The 23872-nt window shown below is 34.7% G+C and overlaps 1 protein-coding gene and 1 long non-coding RNA gene across 4 annotated transcripts in view; one reads left to right on the top strand and one right to left on the bottom strand.

Moving 5' to 3' along the window:
- ITFG1 (integrin alpha FG-GAP repeat containing 1) overlaps positions 1-23872 on the top strand; it is a 306856-nt gene that overhangs the window by 136950 nt on the left and 146034 nt on the right. For both annotated transcript variants that reach the window (NM_001305002.2, NM_030790.5), the window contains exons 9-10: positions 10474-10568; positions 12885-13057. In NM_001305002.2, the coding sequence (NP_001291931.1) occupies positions 10474-10568; positions 12885-13057 (268 nt within the window). The remainder of the gene's footprint in view (positions 1-10473; positions 10569-12884; positions 13058-23872) is intronic.
- ITFG1-AS2 (ITFG1 antisense RNA 2) overlaps positions 1-23872 on the bottom strand; it is a 60347-nt gene that overhangs the window by 9022 nt on the left and 27453 nt on the right. The window contains exons 2-3 of one of the 2 annotated variants that reach the window (XR_007065057.1): positions 11557-11658; positions 10563-10645 (exon numbers count right to left, since the gene is read on the bottom strand). This is a non-coding gene — a long non-coding RNA (ITFG1 antisense RNA 2). Of the gene's footprint in view, positions 1-10562; positions 10646-11556; positions 11659-23872 lie in introns of those variants that run through there. The other variant, XR_007065056.1, reaches the window with a different exon arrangement.

The following is a 23872-nucleotide window of genomic DNA, read 5'->3' as shown; positions in this document are numbered from 1 at the left end:
AAAATCTCTCAGCATTTGCTTGTCTGGAAAGTATTTTATTTCTCCTTCACTTATGAAGCTTAGTTTGGCTGGATATGAAATTCTGGGTTGAAAATTCTTTTCTTTAAGAATGTTGAATATTGGCCCCCACTCTCTTCTGGCTTGTAGATTTTTAAAGATATATCCCAAAATTTTAAAGTAGTATTGATAGAAATATTTCTCTTCATTTTATATGACATATGAACGAACATTATAGAAAAATTATACTCTATCTGTGCATAGTTAAATATACACATATTTATTTTTGGTAAGAAAAGCTAAAATGATTATAATTTCATAGCACATTTAATACTTCATATAAAACAATAGCCATAGAGTTTTAGGGTTTAATCATAAGAATTTTAAGAATAATCTAGTCCCGTCTTCCTCTCCCTGTTCTCTTCCAGACTTCAGAAAGTAAAATAAACAAGGCTGTTGCCATGTAGAATGTTTAGGAAACATTTCCACCATCATCATGGTGACTGGGCTGGAATTGGGTATACTGAGACCCAATCTCAGTCCACCCCATTACTACCCCAACTCACTGAGATAGTCAGCTTTTACCTTGATTCACATATTGGAGAGAAGAGGGGAATCTCAGAACAGGAAAAAGAATAGGTCATGACTGCTTTATCAAACTCTGAGTTAGGAAAAAAAATCATCAAGGTATAGTAGTTGTCTTATTCCATTGTTACTTATAAAAGAATTTATGAAACTGGGTAATTTAGAAAGAAAAGAAATTTATTTCTTACAGTTATGTAATCTGAGAAGTCCAAAGTCAAGCAGCCACATCTGATAATAGCCACATCTGATAATACCAGAGTCCTCCTGGTGGGGACTCTGCAGAATCCCAAGGCAGCACAGAGAATCAAATTACTAGGGGGCTGAGCCTGCTAATGTGGTAGCTCAGGCCTCTCTTCCTTTTCTTATGGCACTTTGATTATCATCTTCTTCCCAAATATAAAATCCTATGATTCTCCTCCCATGATAACCCATGTTCTTTGCCATGATCACCCATGAATTCATTAACATATCAACTAATTAACTCATGAATGAGTTAATCTATTCATGTGGGGAGAACCCTCCTGACCCAGTCACCTCTTGAAGGCCACACTTCTCAATAGTGCCTCATTAGGCATTAAATTTCAACATGAGTTTTGGAGGGGACAAATATTCAAATCATAATAGTAGTGAAAGAATTGGTATACTCAGCAAAACAGAAAAGCATCACTAGATAAGTATCCATGAGATAATATTGAAGCCTGGCAATTATTTGGGAATTTAAATAACAAAAATATTTATATCAATCAGAACAATAAATAGAATGGTTTATCTCAGACCTTGGCAAGAGAAAAATAATCATCCTGAATGTCCTTTCTGATGGCCAAGTATTCACAAAGCTTAAGTTTATATTAAATACAATGTGATGACTATAGTTAATAACAATATATACTTGGAAATTGATAAGAGAGTAGATTTTAAGTGCTCTGAACACACAGAAAAAATGTTAAATATGTAAGTAAATGCATGTGCTAATTAGCTAGATTTAGCTATTCCACAGTGTATTCGTATTTCTTTTGTGTGTGTGTGAGACAGAGTCTCACTGTATCGCCCAGGCTGGAGTGCAGTGGCATGATCTCAGCTCACTGCAACCTCCGTCTCCTGGGTTCAAGCAATTCTCCTGCCTCAGCCTCCCAAATAGCTGGGATTGCAGGTTCCTGCCACCATGCCTGGCTAACTTTTTGTATTTTTAGTAGAGATGGGGTTTTGCCATGTTGGCCAGGCTGGTCTCGAACTCCTGACCTCAGGTGATCCACCCACCTCGGTGTCCCAAAGGGCTGGGATTACAGGTTTGAGCCACCATGCTTGGCCTGTATTCATATTTCAAAACATCACGTTGTAGATCATAAATTTATAAAGTTTTTGTCAATTAAAAATTAATAATTGTTTTTACAAAAACTTATATTAAAGCTAATTTAGTTAACTTTCTGTGTCCTTGGTACCATGTCACACTTTCCAGCGTTACTATGTCTGACAGTGACTGGCAGCATCTTAAAGAAGTATAGCTTTTCTTTTCTGATCATGTTCAGATTCTTTAATAGTATATATTTCTTATTTTTAAAGTTCCACTAAGGCACTAGTACTTTGTAGACTTCTCTTCAATAACATAGGTACATTAATTCTGTATATGTGCAGAACTTTAAAATCAACCTGTATGCTATTTAACATCTGAAGCAGAATAAGTAAATCCATGTACATATTCATAATTCTTTCATTTATGCCATTTAAAAATTAATATTTTGAAGAAATTGTTTATCCCTTCCACATAGTAATGTAGATGATACTATCTTTTTTCTTGTTTTCCATTTGTATTAGCACTTGTTTCACATTGTCATAATTTGGTTTATGAGCATTTTAAAAATAAAGAATTGTAAATATGTTCATGCATGCCATATATTTTTATACTATTCAATTATTTTAAAATTCTTAATTTTATTTTCTAAAAGTATCTAGCCTGGTTTATATAATAATCGTTGTTTCCTATGATATCAAAAATGTAGCATTGTGTATGTTTGTAAATGATAGAGTCTTGCTGTGTTGTCCAGGCTGGAGTGCAGTGCCCATCTACAGGCACAGTCATAGTACTCTGCAGCCTCCAACTCCTGGGGTCAAGTAGTCCTCCTGCTTTGGCCTCTCAAGTAGCTGGAACTAACATGTACCACCATGCCCCATTCTGTACTTTTGTGAGAATAATTTCTCTTATGTTAATGATGTGTTCTGAAAAATATAAAGTTATATTCTTCACTGTTTTCAAAAGTAAAAAGTAAATGGATTTTTAAAAATTTCAGCCTGTATTTCTAGCTTTATATTAATAATGAATCACAAAAGAAAATGTCATTTTATATGTAATTACATTATCTGTCATATATCCCTTATCTCTAGCCAAGTATAATGAGAAAGCCATTATTTCTGTCTATATTCAGAGTCCATTTTAGCAAGAAGTGCAGTTTCAGAGATTCTGCATAGAAATCTTTCAGCCCTGGGTCTCACATATTAAAAGCCTTGAATTCTATTTAAAACCTTCTACCATTAATTAGTCATGTGATTTGTGGTATTTATAGCTCATCTATGCTACAGTCATCCATGAGTAGATTTTCCAGATGGTGGAAGGAGGCATTTTGACTTATTCCCTGTGTTAGCTGTCATGCCATGTTCTACTCTGTAATCAGAAATCACTGATTTATTTTTGTTTTTGAACTCAGAGTTCCAGATTGTAGATAGAAATATTTAGCCATTCCATTTACAATTTTTTTTCACCATCTATGGAGCAACATTTGTCAAATTCTAAATTGTTAGTTTCATTTTTCATGACCAAGTGTTTTAGTATTTCCACTGACAACTTTGCAGTGGGTTTTTGAAGTGAGAACCCTGAAGAAAAAGTACTTCTGTCCTTCCAGGAGTTAATGCCTTTTTTTACTCTTTTGCCTATGTCCTAGGCAGAGCATACCACTGTATTAAATACACAGAATACCACAGTGATAGGGCTAGATAGGGATAATGGACTCCTTTATGTTTGTTTACTGCTTTAAGGGTTTTTTTCCAAATTCTTTCTTCCACATTTAATCCTTACAGTGATCACATATGGTAGCTAAGTTATGTTCCTTTTAATCATTTTACAGATAAAAGACAAAGTGAAAGAGATTTAGTTTCTTTTCTGAAAAGTATATATCATTCAGTAATTGGTGTGGAACAGCTAACCAGATATCCATCTGTAAAAAGTGCAGTACAACTCACAATTGTATATCAAAATAAATTTCAGGTTAATCTAAGACTTAAAAGTAAAACTAATGCTCCAAAGTACTAGAACAAAACAGGGTGTGGGTGGGGGAAACAGAGTTATATGTGTGTACTGGAAATGCCTTTATAAAATATAAGCAAAACATGGAAGCCATAAAGCAAAATATTAGTAAATCACAGATAAAAGAATAATTTTCTTAATTTTGAAAGGGCTGCTACAAACTGGCAGGTAAAAGACCAACAACATTATTCATTAGAAAACAAAAATTAAAACCACAGTGAGATATCATTTTCACTTATCAGACTGGCAAAAAGTTAAAACATTTGATAATTGAGGTATTGGTGTAACCTCTCTTGTAGTGACTCTGAATGTGTGATCCAAAATATGGGCCTCTGCTGGGCGTGGTGGCACACGCCCATAATCCTGGGTACTTGGGAAGCCAAGGCAGGAGAATGGCTTGAACACAGGAGGCGAAAGTTGCAGTGAGCGGAGATGGCGCCACTGCACTCCAGCCTGGGTGACAGAGTGAGACTCTGTCTCAAAAAAGATATGTATATATATTTGGGCCTCTGGAGGGGTGGCTCCCTGAATCTCTTTCAAGGATTACACAAGGTGAAAATTGTTTTTACACTAATACTAAGATATTTTTTGACTTTTTCACATGTTGACATTTACAAGGACAAAGCAAAGCAATGGTGGATAAAGCTGCTTCCAGTGTAGCACAAATCAAAGTAGTAGCACCAAACTTCACTAGTATTCATTGTGGTCTTCATCACCATATATTCACAATTTTAAAATGAAGGAGGGGGAGGAAGGGAACAAGAAACGTGGTCAGTTTCACTTAGTAATTCTTTCTGCAAAAAAAACAATAATTTTAGTAAGTCTCAACCCTTGAGTATACAGCTTTATAATAGTCTGTGTTGGAAAATATGCGTAAAACACATCTGCGTACCAAGTATGTTGGTTGTGTTGACGAAAAGCAGTGGTGAGATTAAGTTGCAAGCTAAACTAGCTACTTCTTAAAATACCATTTCTTACTTGAAAGAACAACTTGACAGACAAGCTACTGTTATTCCAGCTTCGGTAGTTGATGGACATTTTCTCTAAAATGAACGAAGTGAGCTTGTCACATCAAGAAAACAACTGACAGGATTCAGTAGCAGTGATAAAATTTGAGCTTTCAAGCAAAAATTTGAATTTTGGAAAACTTTTATCTGCAATGAGCTGACAGCTTCCCAACATCTAAAGACTTTTGTGATGAGATTGTAGTGATAGCAACAAATGTGAATTTTTGATATGATATAATGAAGTGTATCAACATTTAGAAGGTCCACATAACCAATATTTTTCAAATGATCAATGTGTGATTTCACAAAGTCATGCATTTTACATGAATGCATAGATGGATATGAAGCATTCATTCAAAGTGCAAGATAGACCAATGGTTTTAATTAACAGAGTAGGGAAAATTCATTGATATGGCTTTAGATTCCTCATTGCAAATAACCGTTAAAAAAAATTACTTGTTGAGTTTGACGATAGATGGGATAATACCCAAGGTTGTCTGAAAAGGCTATTTTAATACTTCTACCAACTGCATTTTTTGTATTTGTCAACCAAAACAACATATTACAACAGATTGCATATAAAATCAGTGTTAAAATATAATTTTATTTTAAAGCCAGGCAATTCTACTCTTTTTTCAAAAACTTTTTGTTTTGTAAAAGTTATTTTTCATGAAATTGTTATTTGTGTTTACATGTAATATATTTATGGTTATTTTAACTTAATAAAAATATTGAACTATTTCTGTCTTAATTTTTAATACAGTAAATAAGCATAGATATAAGTCACATAAACAAAGCTCTTTGGGGTCTTCAGTTTTTCAGAGTATTTAAAAGTTTGAGAACTATTCTTCTATGGAGCGTAAAATATAAATTTTAATTTAATGTAACAATTGAAACCATAATTTTCATTTTAGGAATTTATACTACAGATATAATCTCACAAAGGTGAGATTATACAAAATTATTCATTGTTGGATTGTTTGGATTATCAAAAGATTGGAAACAACCCAGCATTTGCATATCAATAGAGAATCAGTTACTGAGATACCTTCATACAATGTAATACTATATTCTCTATATGACACAAATACAGATTTACCATTATGAAACCATCTCAAAGATTATTAAGTCAGAAATTTAGGATGCCAGAAAATGTGTGGAGTACACTACTATTTGTGCAAAATTATATGTAGTATATGTATTTGCATAGATTGTCTTGGAAGGTTAGACAAGAAACTGCTATGGTGGTTGCCACTGGAGGGGAGCAGGGAATGGAGTAAAATGACTTTTTTTTTTGGTTTCTTAAGATTGCGTGCCTGATTACTCATTATTAGCAGCTAAGCTAGGTTAAAAATGCAAATCTAACTGTTCCTAATTTTATCTTCTTTCCATTACGTTAAAATCTCCACATACTGTTACCAAGTGTAAAGACATTCACAGAAAAAAGTTTCTTAATGTAGTGGTATGTGTTTTATTACCGTAGTGAGCTGACGTGTCTAAAAGACATGAGATTATGTAGAAGATGTCCTGGAGTCCCAAGAGGCTGGAGCAGTGTTCAAAAGGAAGGGATACAGAGAGTTCTAAAGGGGTAATATAATTTGATTAGCAAGAAAAGAAGTTTATTCTAAATGAAGAAACATGATCAAGACATTAGAAGTAGGATGCCCATTGCACCCCCTGGCATCAATGGGGGACCAGTGTAGATTCCTGAGAGCAAGTGTCAGCATCCAGTCAGCCGGAGAACTTACGAACATACAAGGTGCTGGGCCCCACCTCCTGAGGTTGTGATTTGTTAGATCTGGGCAGGAGCCTAAGAATTCTCATGTCCAACAACTTCCCAGCCGATTCAGAGGCTGCAGAACCACTGCTTTAGAGAAATTGTGGTTAACAAAGTTGGAAAGGTAATCTGGGGCCAGAACAATGAGTTCTAATTTGCTTAAACAATTCCACAGGTCAGTTAACTTAATTAGAATGAAAATATTAAGAATGTTTAAGAGAATAAGTGATATATGTGAACTTTTTTATGTGTATCTTTTATTGTTCTCTGCTTAATTAAAAACAAAAATTATATATAAAAATTCATTGTAATCCATTTTTATGACAAGAACAATAACACTTTAGTTTTGCTTTTAAAATTAAAAATTTTCTCTAAATCAGTTTTAGTTTCTCTAAATCAGTTTTAAACCCTTAATTCTATTTCAATAAAGTATTTATATGTTTTAGAGAAGAATTTCATTTGTAATTTGGCTAGAGTTACCATCAAAGGGAAGTTAGCATGTGTTTGTTAGTTCAGGATGATCAGTCCTGAAAAAGGCTGATTTTTACACTGGTTTTTGTAAATATTAGTAAATCAAAATGCTATTCCATCTGTTGCAGTTTCTCTTGAGTTTTTGAGAAAGAATTTTGGCCTTCAAGAAAACCTGAGATACGTATTTACTGAAGTCCCAAAGAAAAGACAATCCAAAGTTATAAATTCCTGGTTCTTCTTTAAGTACTGTGCCAAGTTCACAGGCTAGCATCTCCATCAGCATGCCCTTCTTTGTAATCTACTCACAAAGAGACATTATTTCTCTGAGAATTTGCTTAAAGTAATTCTAGCTCCTAGCCTTGTGCCTCTGATTTTTCCCATGTTAAAAGTACTTTCTTCCCCAGGCATAATAATATATTAAAACATAAAATATTCCTGTAGTGTGAGATTTAAAAGATATGCAAATTAAAGGCAAAGAAAGGCTGTGGAAACATTCCAAATGAAAGGAGGCTATTAAGTAACAGCTTTATGCAATTTCTAGTCCTACACTGTATCCTGTGCTGCAGGGACAAAAATGCTGTACGGAACAAGAGGTCAGTGGACAAAACTGAAATATAGATAGCACATTGGATAAATGCATTGTTTGTGTGTAAACTGTGAATTGTTAACTGTATTGTAGTTATGTAAGAGAATATCCCTACTCCTAGGGAATGCACAGTGATACATTTAGGGACAAAGGACCTTAATGTATGTACTTATATACATGGTTCCGAAAAAAATTTGTTTCAAAGAGGGAAAGAACACAAATAATTTTGTAAAAGGGGTAAAATGTTAACAATAGGCAAATGTGGTTAAAGGCTTAACAGATGTTTCTTGTACTATTTCTCTTATTGCAACTTTAAGTATAAATTACTACCAAATAAAAAAGCTTTTAAAAAAGTACAAAAAACTGAAATATGTCAATTTAAAAGCTTCTCTCCTTTTAAAGAGCAAATTTCCTTTGAAATTATACTCTTGAAATTGTACTCTCAAAAAGCATTTCTGTCATTTCACCTAAATATTTTTTAAAAATAAGGCCAGAGGCAGTGGCTCATGCCTGTAATCCCAGCACTTTAGGAGGCCAGGGCAGGCGGATCTCTTGAGGCCAGGATTTTGAGACCAGCCTGGACAACATGGCGAAACTCGGACTCTACTGAATATACAAAAGTTAGCCTGGCATGGTGGCAGATGCCCGTAATCCCAGCTACTCAGTAGGCTGAGGCATGAGAATTGCTTGAACCCAGGAGTGGGAGGTTGCAATGAGCTGAGATCGTGCCACTGCACTCCAGCCTGAGCGGCAGAGCAAGACTCTGCCTCAAAAAAAAATAATAAATTATATATATGTGTATATATATATGGCATTTAGAATAGCACAAGAAACACATTTTGTGATTGAGTTTATTTTTCTGTGACCATATCTATAAAATATTACTGATAATTTATACTAAAGTGCATGATTATGCTGTTTCCACGAGTTAGATATATGTTTACTAGGTAGTTGTTAGAGCACTTGAAAAAATACCAGCCAATTCATTGTCAAAAGAGGCATGAGATATATGAAACTACTTGGAAGAAAGAGAAACTAGGGGAGAAGTAAAGTATGAATAAGATTCTAATATGAGCATTTTGTCATTGGGGTAAAAATGAAGGGAAAAGCCGTGGTAATGCTCTTCAAATTGTTCTCCCATTAATTTACAGTAGAATGGTTTGGTTTTAATGAAGTCTATGTTATCACTTGAGCCAGTTTGTAAATCACATTTTTGTATTAGTTCTTTCTTACTTGGCTAGCTCTCAAACTTTTTTTTTTTTTAAGCTGTGATATATGTTTATCTCCTTGGAAAACCTTCTCCTTTTCAAGTATTCCTGCCTAGAATTGCATCTTTGTCTCTCAATCTATTTAATTCTCAGTAGTCCAAATCTATATGTTGCAAATTACAGATGTTCTCTACATATTTTATTATTAATTCAACTATTGTATTTAATGTTGCACTCCTCTAAGGCAGGGTTTATCATAATGTTATTAATCATGAGGATCCTAAGTAAGCAAATCATGAAATTAAATGAAAGAAATTCATTTTTTACTTTGTTGTGCATTTTTAATTTTCCATGCTGAAGTCAGTTTCCATTGGCTAGATTTTAATTCCACTCAGCCTAAAATTCTTTTTTTTTCCTTTTGAATACATTATTGGAGACTTGATAGGCTTTTGATAACTACATAGCTCTCAGTACGTAAGTATGCTTCACTAAATATACAATGAAGCATATTTCTGTATTAATAATCCTTTTATTTTCTTCCAAGTGTATATACTACCTCAGGCACGAGTTAAATAATACAATAAACAACAGCAGTAAATCAGTGATTAAAGCAATACAAAATCAATCCCCAAATTAAAAAACTAAGTGACTGTGCATTGTGAATGTCCACATAAAGAGACTTAACTCTGCGACATCAAAATCTGTAAACCCCATCAGGTAGCAGGGACATTAGATGGGAGAGAGCACTAGAGAGCTGACACCTCAGTAATGTCAGTAACTTACTAACTTCCTCCATAACCTCACCTCTGTAGGCCTTAGCAGAATACTGTGCTTTGTAAAAAACAGTCACTTGGAAAGGATATCTATATTCCTTTCATTTGCTTTTTCATTGATAAAAATTTATTGGTACTTTTAAGAAGCCAGAGTGTTGAGGGCTTTATAACTCTTGGATCGAAGTTCATCCAGAATAAAGTCTCTTACATATGTATAAAGTTAAGAGTCTCACGTTTAAAATACTCTGTATAATAATGGACTACTGTTGATATGCTTATTTTTCTCTTCTATGGCAGCAGTGATAATTATGTAAATAAGTCAAAGCTACATTTTTAAAAATTGATGGTTTTAACATTACAGGCTGAAATGGGGTCTCTTACCAACACTATACATTTTTCTTTTTATAATTTCAACTTTTATTTTAAATTCAAGGAGTCCATGTGTAGGTTTGTTACATGGGTTGGGGTATGACTGATCCCATCACCCAGATAGCATAGGACCCAGTAGTTTTTCAGCCCTTGCCCCCCTCCCTCCTATAGAAATGCTTAACCACACAGAAGTGTGCAATTTAGAACAAGACACAGTCCAGATAATCAGTTGCAAGGGCCAGAGTAATTTTTTAAATAAAATCATATTCATTTTGAAGCCATGTGTCAAATTCTTCTGTTTTATCCAGATTGATGTAGACTTTGAACAAATAGTAAATTTAATATACCATACAAGAACACTTTATTTTGTGACTATTAATGGACTCTTGAAGTTTCTTTTGGCAGATGGAGATGGACACATGGATCATTTACTGCCAGGCTGTGAAGATAAAAATTGCCAAAAGAGTACCATCTACTTAGTGAGATCTGGGATGAAGCAGGTATATCAAGTTGTTTTTAATGTAAACATTTTTTTTTATGTGCTTGGAAAAAAATCTTCTAAGGTTAGAAAAGATACCTGTAGAATCAGAACAGAGGGAACCCCAAAATTAAGTTACCGACTTCCTCATTTTAACTTAATGAAATGCATTTAAATATATTATTTTTTAATTTGTTGCGGGAAAATCATTGTTATAATTATTTCTAGTGAAGAAAACCCATTCTGGATACTATAATTAAATGATCTTTTAGCTTTTTATATGCCAGGAATATGGCAAAACACACTATAATAAAAGGTTACTTAGAAGAACGTTGTATCTATTTTCGAAACTGATCTTGTTTTTATTTGTGTTATTTAAACCTATTTTATTATCTCATGCTGACTTTTACCTGTAGCTTGTAGGTAAGCAATTTAGAATCTGACAGTCACAGTGGAGGATTAATATGGGAATGATAGGTTATAACAATCATATTAGAATTAATGTTTCTTTTGGAGGGTAATAAATGATAGAATAACGTATTGACTTTTATAGCCCTTATGGAAAAGGAGCATCATATTTTATGTGAAAACAAATCTTCACACAGTCAGCATTCTAAAAGCATTTAACTGGCCAGTGTGAGTACAGTGGTGTTAAGTGAACACAGCCAGTTACAGATTTCCTTGTTGCTTCTCTACCCCCAAAGCTTCACTTTATTAGCCTTAAAAATAAAATAAATGAAAACATTTAACTGTTATACCTGTAAGTTTTATCTTGAACTTTTTTTAAGGTTTTGAATCACTTAAAACTTTAGGTCAAGTAACTATCATTGGTTCATAATTATTAGTAATCCTAGTAATTATTGCCTATCGACAGACTACTGTAAGAATATTTTCAAATTATACAGTCATCTCTCTCTGGGAAGATAAATGTCACAGTTCTTTGGTGACTATTATCAGTGTCATATTGATACTGAAAAATCTTTTTACTTTTTAGGCCTTAATACATTTACCTTAACAGGAATACTTTATTCAATGTGGTTTATCCTGATTAATAACCTGTCAGCCTCTTCAGAAATTTGTGATAACGTGGCATTTTGTGAAATTCTCATCTGCTGAAATAAAACACAACAATTTTTTAAAAACCAAGTGAAACCATTGAAACATTTTAATGATATATAAAATAATACTGTTTTGCTTAAAGATTGAAAAATTATTAAAGATGCATACCTTTTTTTTTAAAAAAACTCATTTTCTGTAAACATGTCTTTACCAAGTTTCCTTTTTCCCTGGTAAATTATACTTTCTTTGGAAAATACATAAATTGTTGGAGATACCCTGTTTATTAACCCCTTTTCAAGAAACCATCTTTAATATAATTTGACTTGCAGCCATATAAATGAGTCACCTGCTTAGAAGGAAAGGAAGGGAATCTCTAGGTATGTTTGGCCTCCTGCCATCTCAAGTCAGCTGTGCCTGCTTCTGCTCAGACATCTTCAGGTTATGTGGCAGCATTCATATGCAGCAAATTGTGGGCACAACTATAACTTTAATGGCATGATTTCCGCTCTTCAAATTTCTAGTTATTAAAAAGTGAAGATTTATGTTAATCTGAAGAGAAAGGGATTCCCAAAGCTCATTTTCAAATGAGCTTTCTGTTCTCTTTCTGTTCTCTTCATGGCCATTAATATAGAAATAAAGGAATTTACTAAAAATGTAGCTTCCGGCCGTTTTAGTGACAGAGCTCAGTCTTCTTGGCTGAGAAGTGCCTGTCAGTTACTGATGAAGCCTGTCAGGCCTGGTGTTGTTTGGAAAGACTCAGGAGCTGCTCGGCTGGAAGGCAATGACTGAAGTCATCTGCATGTGTAAGAGACACAGCAGTAGAATGAACAACGGGGTCTCTGTCATGTTCTAACTTTCCTCCTAAGTTGGTCCTCCCGAAAGCACATCAGTATTAGATGATATTACAGCTTGCTCTAGTTTTTTTTAAACGTTCGAGTGTTTCTATGTGACACAGTTTTAAATTATGTAATCTGACTAGATGTGTATTAATATCAGTTCAATCCTAAGATTCATGTGGTATTGTGAAAAACTTTCTAAGGCTTTCTGTGCCAGTTCAGACAAAAATGACTAGGATAAATTCTAAGGGAAAGTACTTTTTTTTTTCCCAGAGTGTCACCTATTCATCAGAGTAAATTATGATCCCCTACCATATTGTAGAGATAAAAAAGTTAAGTAAAATAATGCTTATCTTGAAAACTTAATGGATCGTTTGTTTTGCAAATTATAAATTTTTTTATAAAATAACTATAAAGTCTGATCTTTTTCTCTTAATCCATAGTGGGTTCCAGTCCTACAAGATTTCAGCAATAAGGGCACACTCTGGGGCTTTGTGCCATTTGTGGATGAACAGCAACCAACTGAAATACCAATTCCAATTACCCTTCATATTGGAGACTACAATATGGATGGCTATCCAGACGCTCTGGTCATACTAAAGAACACATCTGGAAGGTAAGGAAATTAAATCAAGTGAGAAATATTTGTAAACTATGTGAGAAATATTTGCAAACCATGGTACTTTGCAACTGAATAGTACCTAAATATGTTATAATCTCTTAAATAAGGAACATGGTGAGCTCAGTTCCTGTTTTTAAATTTGGTCCCTGCACTTCTCACAACTGCTTAGTTGTTTTTTTTTTTTTCACAGATTCATTATCTGTAAAACAAAAATGAACATTTAGTCTAAAGCAAACAGTTATATTTCACTCAATAAAACTTAATCTTTAAAAGTTCAAAAGTTGTTATAGGCAAATGACCCAATTATATTTTGAGACCGAAGACACTGGTGGTTAAGAACTGACTCTAGGCTTTGATCTCAGTCCAACCACTTACCATCTGTGTGACTTTGGTCATATTACTCAGACTCTTCATGTGTGAAATAAGTGTAATAATTGTACCTCTGTCATGGAGTTATAGTAAAGATTAAATAAGGTAAAAGTAAATGAACCACTTAGAAAGATACTCTTGGCATACTGATTTTACATTTAGTAAATGTTGTTACATTATTGTTGCTTGTTTTGTAATGACACTGGAAATTCCACCATGACTGTTGATACTTTTTGTATATGTCAACTGTGAGTACATTTATTGCATTAGCAGTGACTTTTAATGCTGCAATTACTTTAATTTTTGAAATAGAAGTATCAGTAGATAAACCAATGTAGTTAAACTCATAATTAGCTTGAATCCTGACAGATGCCATAAATATGAGTATTCCTAAATTTTAATACCTTATCGTTTTATTCATCTCACAATTAATTATATTCCTTAGCCCTTATTCTTTCTTTCCTTTTACATTATTTTTCTGAGCATTAATTTATTTGTTGACGCTAGAATTACTAATGATTCAGCTCCATATTCAGAACCAGGCTCATGATACAAAACAACTTCTCCAGAAGAAGTCAGACGTATTACTGCTTTTAACTCCAAACAGTGTTGTCCTGAAATCTGATATTTAGAGAAATATTTATCATTAGTGAGTGTCCCTAAACTATTTATAGAAAAGTATGGGAGAGTCTGTACGTTAACTTTCCTAAGCACGTTGGTTTGAAATTATAATGTCTCTGCATCCTGTTTGGAGAGTTTTCCAAGGACATGATCAGGGTGCTCTGTTATGCAGAGTTTACTTGTAACCTATGTGTGTGAAACAGATCTGATATAGCCAAAACAAACTTCTGAATGGAACGTGAGTGTTGTTCTTTTTAAAAGCATAGTGGCACATAAAAACAAAGAACTGTAAAATTACTTTATTTTAGACATTGGCTCTATTCAGAAGAATAAGAAATTACATTTTAAATTCATTTAATCCTGTGATTACTCATCCTTAGAATATGTAAATAATTTATATTTTACTATAAAAGTTCTTTATCAACAGTGTTTTTGTTAACAATTCCTTTGCCATTCAGCAATACAGATGGTATCAACTGCTAACTCAGCAGTGAACATTTTAGCTCTGCAGGAAAAATAAGTACTAAAGGCAGTTGTACTTTTTTATGAAAGTCTTAATACCATTATAAAAGCAGTTGTGTAAAACTCAGTTATTTCTTTTCTGTTCTTTTAAGATGGATGAGAATTGAAGGATAGATTTCAGTTCATCTTAGTGTTCATTCCATCACAGATGAGAAGTAGCCCTAACTTTAAATTAAATATAAATATTATTTAGAGTTGCTGTTACATTTCTGTAGGAAAATTTGACAAATCATATGAAAATTAATGTTCTAGACCTTGTTAGATCATTTTCTAAAATTCAAAGACAGATTGTGATTTCCTAGTAATAAGTAAATGTTTGATTAACACTGGTACTATAGAAGTTATGTTAATAGGCCAGGCGTGGTGGCTCACGCCTGTAATCCCAGCACTTTGGGAGGCCGAGGCACGCGGATCATGAGGTCAAGAGATCGAGGAGACCATCCTGGCCAACATGGTGAAACCCCATCTCTATTAAAAATATAAAAATTAGCTGGGCGTGGTGGTGGGCGCCTGTAGTCCCAGCTACTTGGGAGGCTGAAGCAGGAGAATCACTTGAACCCAGGAGGCAGAGGTTGCAGTGAGCCAAGATCACAGCATTGCACTCCAGCCTGGGCGACAGAGCAAGACGCCATCTCAAAAAAAAAAAAAAAAAAGAAGTTATGTTAATAATGTATCATTATGTTGAGCACATAGAGTGAATATTTCTTCCTTCTTTTGAGAATTTAATCTAGTGACTGTGTTTAAGAATGTGACTCCTAGTCTTCATTCTGACTATTCCTATCACCTTTGTATGATACAGTCAAAATGTTGACATATTTAAGAAGAGTTTTATTGTTATTAATACATTGCAAGTCACGAATGAAACTGGATAGCAAAACCTGAGCTTCCACTGGGCTCTTATCGGAGTTCCAAGCCTAGAAGTAGCTAAAAATAAAAAAAGTTTTTGGCAGCAAAGAAGCACACTCAGAAGTCTGAGTATCAGCCATGAGAACATCCCAAGCCTATTAAATGGCAAGTAAATCTGTAAATGGCCAAATGTAATATATTGCCTGTTAGTTAATGCTGGGAAGAAAATGGCTTTTGTTTATAAAGTAATTTTAGTTTGTATTACTTTACCATCGTTTTTCATGGGTTGGTTATTATCTTTATTTTACAAATATGAAAATAGTCTGAGATAAATCAGACAGCTTATCCAATATCATGCATCCTAATTCAGTTATAATCTGCATTTTCATCAGCATCCTCAGCTTTATACAATAATTTAGCTTCACATTATTGACCCTGACTCATCAATGAAAGGTTACATTATGTTGCAGATGTTCTACTTTTTCAAAAGGCATGGAGGTTGATAGTACAAAGGCCTACATCTGTGGGAACATTTCTAGCCACTATTCTTTTTCACGTTCTCTATGAAGTAGAGATGCCGGTGAGGCTGCAGATAAAAGGGAACACTTATACACTGTTAGTGGGAATCTAGATTAGTCGAGCCACTGTGGAAAGCAGTTTGGAGATTTTTCCAAGAACTTAGAACTGCCATTCGACCCAGCAATCCCATTACTGGGTATATACCCAAAGGAAAATAAACTGTTTTACCGAAAAGACACATGCACGTGTATGTTCATTGCGGCACTATTCACAATAGCAGAGATATGGAATCAATGTAGGTGCCCATCAATAGTGGATTGGATTTTTTAAAATATGGTATAAATACATTATGGAATACCATGCAGCCATGAGAAATAACAAAATCATGTACTTTACAGCAACATGGATGCAGCTAGAGGCCATTTTCCTAGGCGAATTAACACAGGCACAGAAAATCAAACACTGCATGTTCTCACTAATAAGTGGGAGCTAAACAGTGCATACTCATGGACATAAAAATTCCAACAGTAGACACTGGGAACTACTAGAGAGGGAAGAGAGGAAGGAGATCAAGAGTTGAAAAACTAACAATGGGGTACTGTGCTCAGTACCTGGGTGATGGGATCAGTCACACCCCAAAACTCAGTACCATGCAGTATACCCATGTAATAAATTTGCACATATACCCTGTGAATCTAAAATAAAAGTTGAAATTATAAATGTTAAAAGAAGAAAGAAATATTGTCCTGGATGTAAACTCATTCTGTGTCATTATTGAAGAAGACCTCATATTGCTACGTTCGCTTGCCTTCACTCAACCAACTCCAACTTCATTAGTTGGAATTTGTAAAGATCAAAAAATTTTCTTTCAATAATATTGCCTATTCATCTGCTATAATGAATCCCATACTAAAATTCTTAGTCCCATAATAAAATGGAAAAAGAACTCCACTAATTAGTTCTGAGGGAAGAAACCTCTGTAGACAGTGAGAGTTAATTCTACCATTAATTCCAATGGAGATATATTAAAAGATATATTACACATTATCAGCAATCAATTTTTAATTAAAGTTTTAATAAATACCCTTACACACTAAATTTATAGGTATAAAGTTGCATTCCTTTATGATTTTTAAATTTTCTCTAAGTCTTTAGATACGACTCCTTCATGTTTTTAGTATTATTTGCCTTTTTAATTTCTTTCATCAGACTTGATAAAGGCTTCTTTCTCCGTTTTTTTTTTTTTTTTTTTTTTTTTTTTTTGAGACGGAGTTTTGCTCTGTCACCCAGGCTGGAGTGCAGTGGCGCAATCTCCACATACTGCAAGCTCTGCCTCCCGGGTTCACGCCGTTCTCCTGCCTCAGCCTCCTGAGTAGCTGGGACTAGAGGCGCCCGCCACCATGCCCGGCTAATTTTTTGTATTTTTAGTAGAGATGGGATTTCACCATGTTAGCCAGGATGGTCTCGATCTCCTGACCTTGTGATCCACCCGCCTAGGCCTCCCAAAGTGCTGGGATTACAGGCGTGAGCCACCGCGCCCGGCCTCTTTCTCCGTTTTATTATTTCAGTCATGTCTGTGTTTTTGTTAGTATTGTAGAGGTTCAAAGAATCACCTTTATTTTCAGTAAGATGAATTTCTTCTATGAATATTTTATGTTTATTTTTACATTTTTTCCTGTTTTGCTTTCTTCAAGTTTTTTTTTTAATTTTTTACATTATTTCATTGAATACTAAACTAATAGAAGTTTACTCTTGTTTTCTATTAAGTGCTTTTAAGACTAAATATTGTGAGCTTGACTTCAGGTCATATATTTTGATAATAAGTGGTTTCATTGTTCTTTTTTATTTAAAATCTTGCATATACACAGAATTATTTAGAAAGGTATCTTAAAGGGTTCACATAAATATGTTTGGGCCCAAAGTTGTTTTTATGGTGGTTTTTTGGATTTTAGTCTATCTCTTCATTTTTTATGCTTTTAATATGGCATTGCAAATATAAATGTGGCTTGTGCAATACTTTTAGAAACTTGTTGAAATGTTTCTGGTGGTTTAATAGCTCAGTCAATGGTTATCTGAAATATCATTCCAGTTAATTATGTTATTTAAATCTTTATTTTTATTTTCTTTTCTGCCTTTTTTTGGATTATTCAACATTTTCTTCCTTTTATAGTTCCTAAGGTGGTTAACATATTAAAATTTTTATTTTTGTCATTGTGGTTATTAAATATTAATACCTATACTTAAATTTTACCTTTAATGAACTACTGGAGTCAATATGTAAGGCAAGTATTTTAGGACACTTCTAGTTCTCTCTCTCCCGACCCCGATTACTTCTCGTTCAGTGGTATTATCAATTGATGGAATGATTTTCACGTTTTGTTGCTACAGTTATTTACACTTAGCTACAGGGTTTACTGATTTCTCTGATCACCACTGAATATTATATCTTTTGTTCTTTCTTCAGTTTCCATTTTTCTGGACACATTATCAAGTAATTCTATCTGGGAGAGTCTGCAGCCTCTTTCTGAAACTTTACATGTCTGAAATTTTCTTTATTTTCCCCCAGCCTGAATTGCTAACTTGGCTGAGTATAGAATTCTAGATTCAAAATTATTTTACTTCATATCCTTAAAAACACTTCTCTGTTAAATTCTGATATTCACTTTTGCTAGTCAAGTCTGGTGATAATCTGATTGTTCATTGCAGGTAACCTCTTATGTTCTTTCTAAGATACTGGATTTGTACTTTATCCATAGTAGTTTGAAATGTTACCATGTGGAGTTGAATTGTGACTCCTGTAAATTTCTATTTGTTATTTTTGTCTTCTGTTTCATTCTCTTAGGTTTTTTTTCTTAGTTAATTTGTTTCTAAAGCTCATATTAGAACACATGAGGGAAGTTGTAGGTCTGCCCTCCTTGTCTCTCTGCCCATACCCTCACATTTTTTAACTTGTATCTTTTGTGCTGTGTTCTTGAAAAATGTCTTTGTTCAGCTCAATAACTACCCTGATTACAGAAGTGAACAAGACAGAAATGAAATTTACTCACTACAAAGTACTAGTCACCACTGTGAAAGCAACCCAGAAAATATTCTTACTGACAGTGGGTCATAAGTATCATTTTCCAAGCAGTTTATATGTATAAGACAGCACATCATTAATTACAGAGAGAGAGTAGTAAATGATATATGAGTGTATATACTTGTCTTTCCAGACAAATTATGTTGGTAAATTTCATTACTTATACACTAGTGGTACCAAGATAAATTTCATCATTTTCCATATGTCCATGAAGTGCACTGAGTACACTTCTAAATTTGTTTTTACATAAAATTATACTGTGATAAAGTAAAGTAAGCTTTTTAGCTGTTGAATCATCAACATATACAGTTAACTTTTGTATTTCTTAAGGCAGTGCTGGGAAAGGAGAGTGCCATTCTGAGATAATATACTTAAATCCATTTTATTTAATATCAATCAGCTTTTTTACAAGAATAGTGGCCACAAAGTTTTATGACTCCTAAGGAATAGTAGCAGTCCTCTTCAAAAGAAGAGTGACATGGAAGATTTTGCACTTTTTTTTGGTAAATCTTAACCATCTGTATGAATCAGACTAGTGGTTATCGTGTGTGGAATCACCAGATGACAAGATGGAAAATCCTTCTCCTAATAGTCTGTGAATAGGACAAGACTTAGATTCAGGCCTGTCTTGTTATATATATACTTTCAGTCACATATATTAATAAAAGGAGAAATAAAACACAAATGGAGAAACAAATGTACAGACAACATTTATGCTCAAAGGAATTCAGGTCAGCGTGCATTGTGAAACACATGCACTACGTCATCTCTCACATACAGTTAACTGAAAAGTTTATTGTTAAATGCACCTTTGGATAAGAGAATTAAATAAAGATCATGTACTTTGGATCTCAGTTGAAATGCCAGTGCTGCCACTTATACTTCTGTTTCCTTTTGTCACTTACTTGACCTGTCTATGTACCTGTAAATTTATAAAATGAAGGTGGTTATACCTACCCTGAAAATTCCTTCTGAAGATTGAAATACCATTCCTTTCCCTTTCCCTCTTAAGCTTAACTAAGAAACCTGTAATTAAGCTAGACTGGCACAACATGAGCGATGACTTTAATTCCAAGAGATCTGTGACAGCTAGGTAACCTCCTACCGACTGTAGACTACACAGATTATTGATACGGAAAGAACTGATGGCTATTTCATTTCTATTCTTTTTCTACAACTATAAATCCCAAAGGGTTGTTTATTTATGTTTCAGAACATTTAAAACATGTAAGTTAAAATGTATCAATCTAAGAATTTTTTTTTTCCAAATCCCAGTGACTTAGTCCGATCAGACTAATTTAAGTAAGGGTAGAATCAGTTGAAAACTTGCAACGGAAAATTATTAACAGGCCAGGTGTGGTGGCTCAAGTCTGTAATCCTAGCACTTTCAGAGGCCAAGGTGAGAGGATCACTTGAGCCCAGAAGTTCAACACCAGCCTGGGCAACATAGTGGGACCCCATCTCTACAAAAAATAAAATGAAATAAATTAGCCAGGCATGGTGGCAGGCACCTGTGTTCCTAGGGACTCAGGAGGCCTGAGTAGGAGGATCACCTGAGCCTAGGAATTGAAGGCTGCAGTGAGCTATAATTACACCACTGCATTCCAGCCTGGGTGACAGAGTCAGACCTTGTCTCTAAGGAAATAAAAGGAAAAAGAAAATGGCTAACACTAAAAGGGAGGATTAAAAGGTTTCAGCAGGAAGTGTATTTCTGTAGATTTCCGGAAGTAACTTAAAATGTCCAAATCTTTCCGGATCCTCACTTTGCAACCTTTTCCCCCCTAAGGCTGATAGATTAAGTGCTATATTGGGTAACTGTTTTCAATGTTGTGTATGTGAGTTTTTAAAGCTCATAATAAGTCTTTGGTAGCAAGATACATCTCTCTACATAAGCCCATCACCTTTTCTCACTTTCTTCATAAGCAAAGACAGAAATAAAGAATATATACTATACGGAAAGAATATAAAAGGAAAATATAAATCAGCATTATTGTCTCTTTTTTTTTTGAGATGGAGTCTCGCTCTGTCATCCAGGCTGGAGTGCAGTGGTGCGATCTCGGCTCACTGCAAGCTCCGCCCCCTGGGTTCACGCCATTCTCCTGCCTCAGCCTCCAGAGTACCTGGGACTACAGGCGCCCGCCACCATTCCTGGCTAATTTTTTGTATTTTTAGTAGAGACGGGGTTTCACCTTGTTAGCCAGCATGGTCTTCATCTCCTGACCTCGTGATCCACCCGCCTCAGCCTCCCAAAGTGCTGGGATTACAGGCGTGAGCTACCGCCCCCAGCCTATCGTCTATTTTTCTTCACATATTTGTCACTAAATCTAAATATCAAGACCCCGTCTCTGTTTTTGCAGAGAAGAAGCTTAGTTCAGATTGATCTAAGTGTTTTCTTCATACCAATGTGCAAACATAGCAAATGTAAGTCAGGTAACAAGGCGATGTGGCACAGTGGCATGAGAATTAGACTTGATATAAAAAGATTTGCTTTAAAGGCCTGGCTTAGTGTCATAATTTCTGCATCTGTGAAATGAAGCATATACTTCTGGTGCATTACGGAGAAGTTGTCAAAATAAGAGTGTAAATGAGAGAGGAAAGTATGGGGTGTTCCATTAAATTAGGCTTTATTTATCTTTAATTTCTTGGTAACAGCTTTTTAATCCCACAAAGTAAGTTTTTACAACGTTTAAATTGTCTGTGTCTAGTGATTGCAGCATTAAGATCTTGGACATAGGGCTGAAGGGCTCCTCAAGTACGGCCAAAGTGGGAGCCCAGGCAGAGGAGGTGCTGAGAGCAAGCGAGGGCTGTGAGGACTGCCAGCACGCTGTCACCTCTCAATAGTATAATCATTTAAATATACTATGTATTAGTCATTAACATTGCTAAAAAAAAAAAAATACCAAAAATGTCATACCTAAAGAAGAGGTCTTTTCCTCAGCAGGACTTCTTTTAACTGAAGTATTTGGGAGCAGTGCTTATGACTTATTTTAAAAGACAAATTTCTCTAGTCTTTTAAATATGAATACAAATTTTGACTATTAAAAGTGACTGGTAACCCTTCCGTTAATAGAAAAAAAGCAAATACAAGTTCCTTGAGAGCAGGAGTCTTAAAGAACCAGAATAATTCCCTCTCTGTTTTAGTAGCAGGTACTTATTTTTTCTTGTGCTTCTTTTCAAATTTACCACACCATAGCATTGCTTTTATAATCAGAAACCTCAGAAACATAAAGATTTTTTTTTTTGAAGACTCATTGGGGAAACTAGACAAGGTCACATCTATATGGTTGGCTGCCTCTTCAGTATCTGGCATCCATGAGAAAATACCTAATGAAGTGAGTTAGTGGGCCAAGTCTTGAGTTTGTCCAGTGCTGTAGTCTAACAAAAAACCTGGTTGATTTTGATCAACCAATAAAATGAGTCCTGTTAAACAAAATTTTAAGTAGGACTTTTGAATAGGTTGTTGGAAATAAGCACCAGATATAGATGAAATCGTTTTATAATTGATTCTCTGTCAAATCAGGCATTCCCTATATTATTGTCATTTGTCAGTCATGAAATATTTAGCTAGAAAAAATTGGAAATAGCTGGGCACGATGGCTCACGCCTGTAATCCCAGTACTTTGGGAGGCTGAGGTGGACGGATCACTTGAGGTCAGGAGTTCAAGACCAGCCTGGCCAACATAGTGAACCCTTGTCTCTACTAAAAATGCAAAAATTAGCTGGCATGGTGGCAGGCGCCTGTAGTCCCACCTACTCGGGAGGCTGAGGCAGGAGAATTGCTGGAACCTGGAAGACGGAGGTTACAGTGAGCTGAATCGTGCCATTGCACTCCAGCCTGGGCGACAGTGCCATCTCAAAAAAAAAAAAAGAAGAAGAAGAAGAAAAGAAAAAGAAAAATTGGAAATACTGCCAGTTTTGAAATAGAATTCATGTTTACTGTAAATCAACACAGACTCAGTAAGGCACTTGCAGGTTTGACCTTTTTATATTATAATACATTAATTTACATTTTCTCTAGTTTTTAGTCCATTGTCTCTCAGTGAAAATCTGCACCAAGAATCATCTTGAACTCTTTGTTCCTATGGGAAGGAGGATTGCCTAATGGTGCTTGTTTTGTTCACTGATCTGTGTGTTTTATTCTCATTTGTCTTTTAGTAAATCTCTCTAGTCATGAATGTTATTTACTTTTATTAAGGCACATAGATTTCTGTGTTTCAATACTTTTTAAAAATTATACTCCTGGGCTTTTAGGGCTGAAAGGAAATATAAAATCATATAGTCTACTTATTTATGAATTAATTAGGGCACAGAGAACTTAAGTGATTTATCTAAGATCACTCACTTAGTAGTAGAATTGAGTGGATCACTCAATTAGAAGTAGATCCAGTTCATTGCATAATCTTTTTTACTGTGCTGTGTATTTATCCAATAATTTGTCTATACTTACAAAGGAGCATTATGCTAGAATCTGAAAATAAGTAACTGAAATTCGGTACTCGCTACCAGCACTAACATTCTGTATTCAGAATTCCATCAAGTGTTTCAAGATGTCTTTTTTATATTAAACTCTTTAAGCCATCTGCCTTCTATTTTAAGGTATATTATAAGAATCATTAAAGCCAAATTTATTGTTAAAATCTTGGAGATGCATAGACAGCAGCCCTTCAGCTGTGAGTTTTTGCCTCCATGGCTATCCAAACACATCATTTTACCACCAAGTAACAGTCACTGGAATTCAGAACTGTCACTCTAGGAAAGGTGGGATAGTCTCCAGTTCCTCCAGGTCTTTCTTTGCCCAGGAACCTTATCCTTCTTTCCTTACCTGCTGCCCTCAGGGGTGTGAAGAACTGGAC

The sequence above is a fragment of the Homo sapiens genome, chromosome 16, assembly GCF_000001405.40.
Source record: "Homo sapiens chromosome 16, GRCh38.p14 Primary Assembly".
Lineage (NCBI taxonomy): Eukaryota > Metazoa > Chordata > Mammalia > Primates > Hominidae > Homo > Homo sapiens.
Note: the sequence above shows the minus strand (reverse complement) of the source record. Positions and strands in the feature narration are given on the sequence as shown.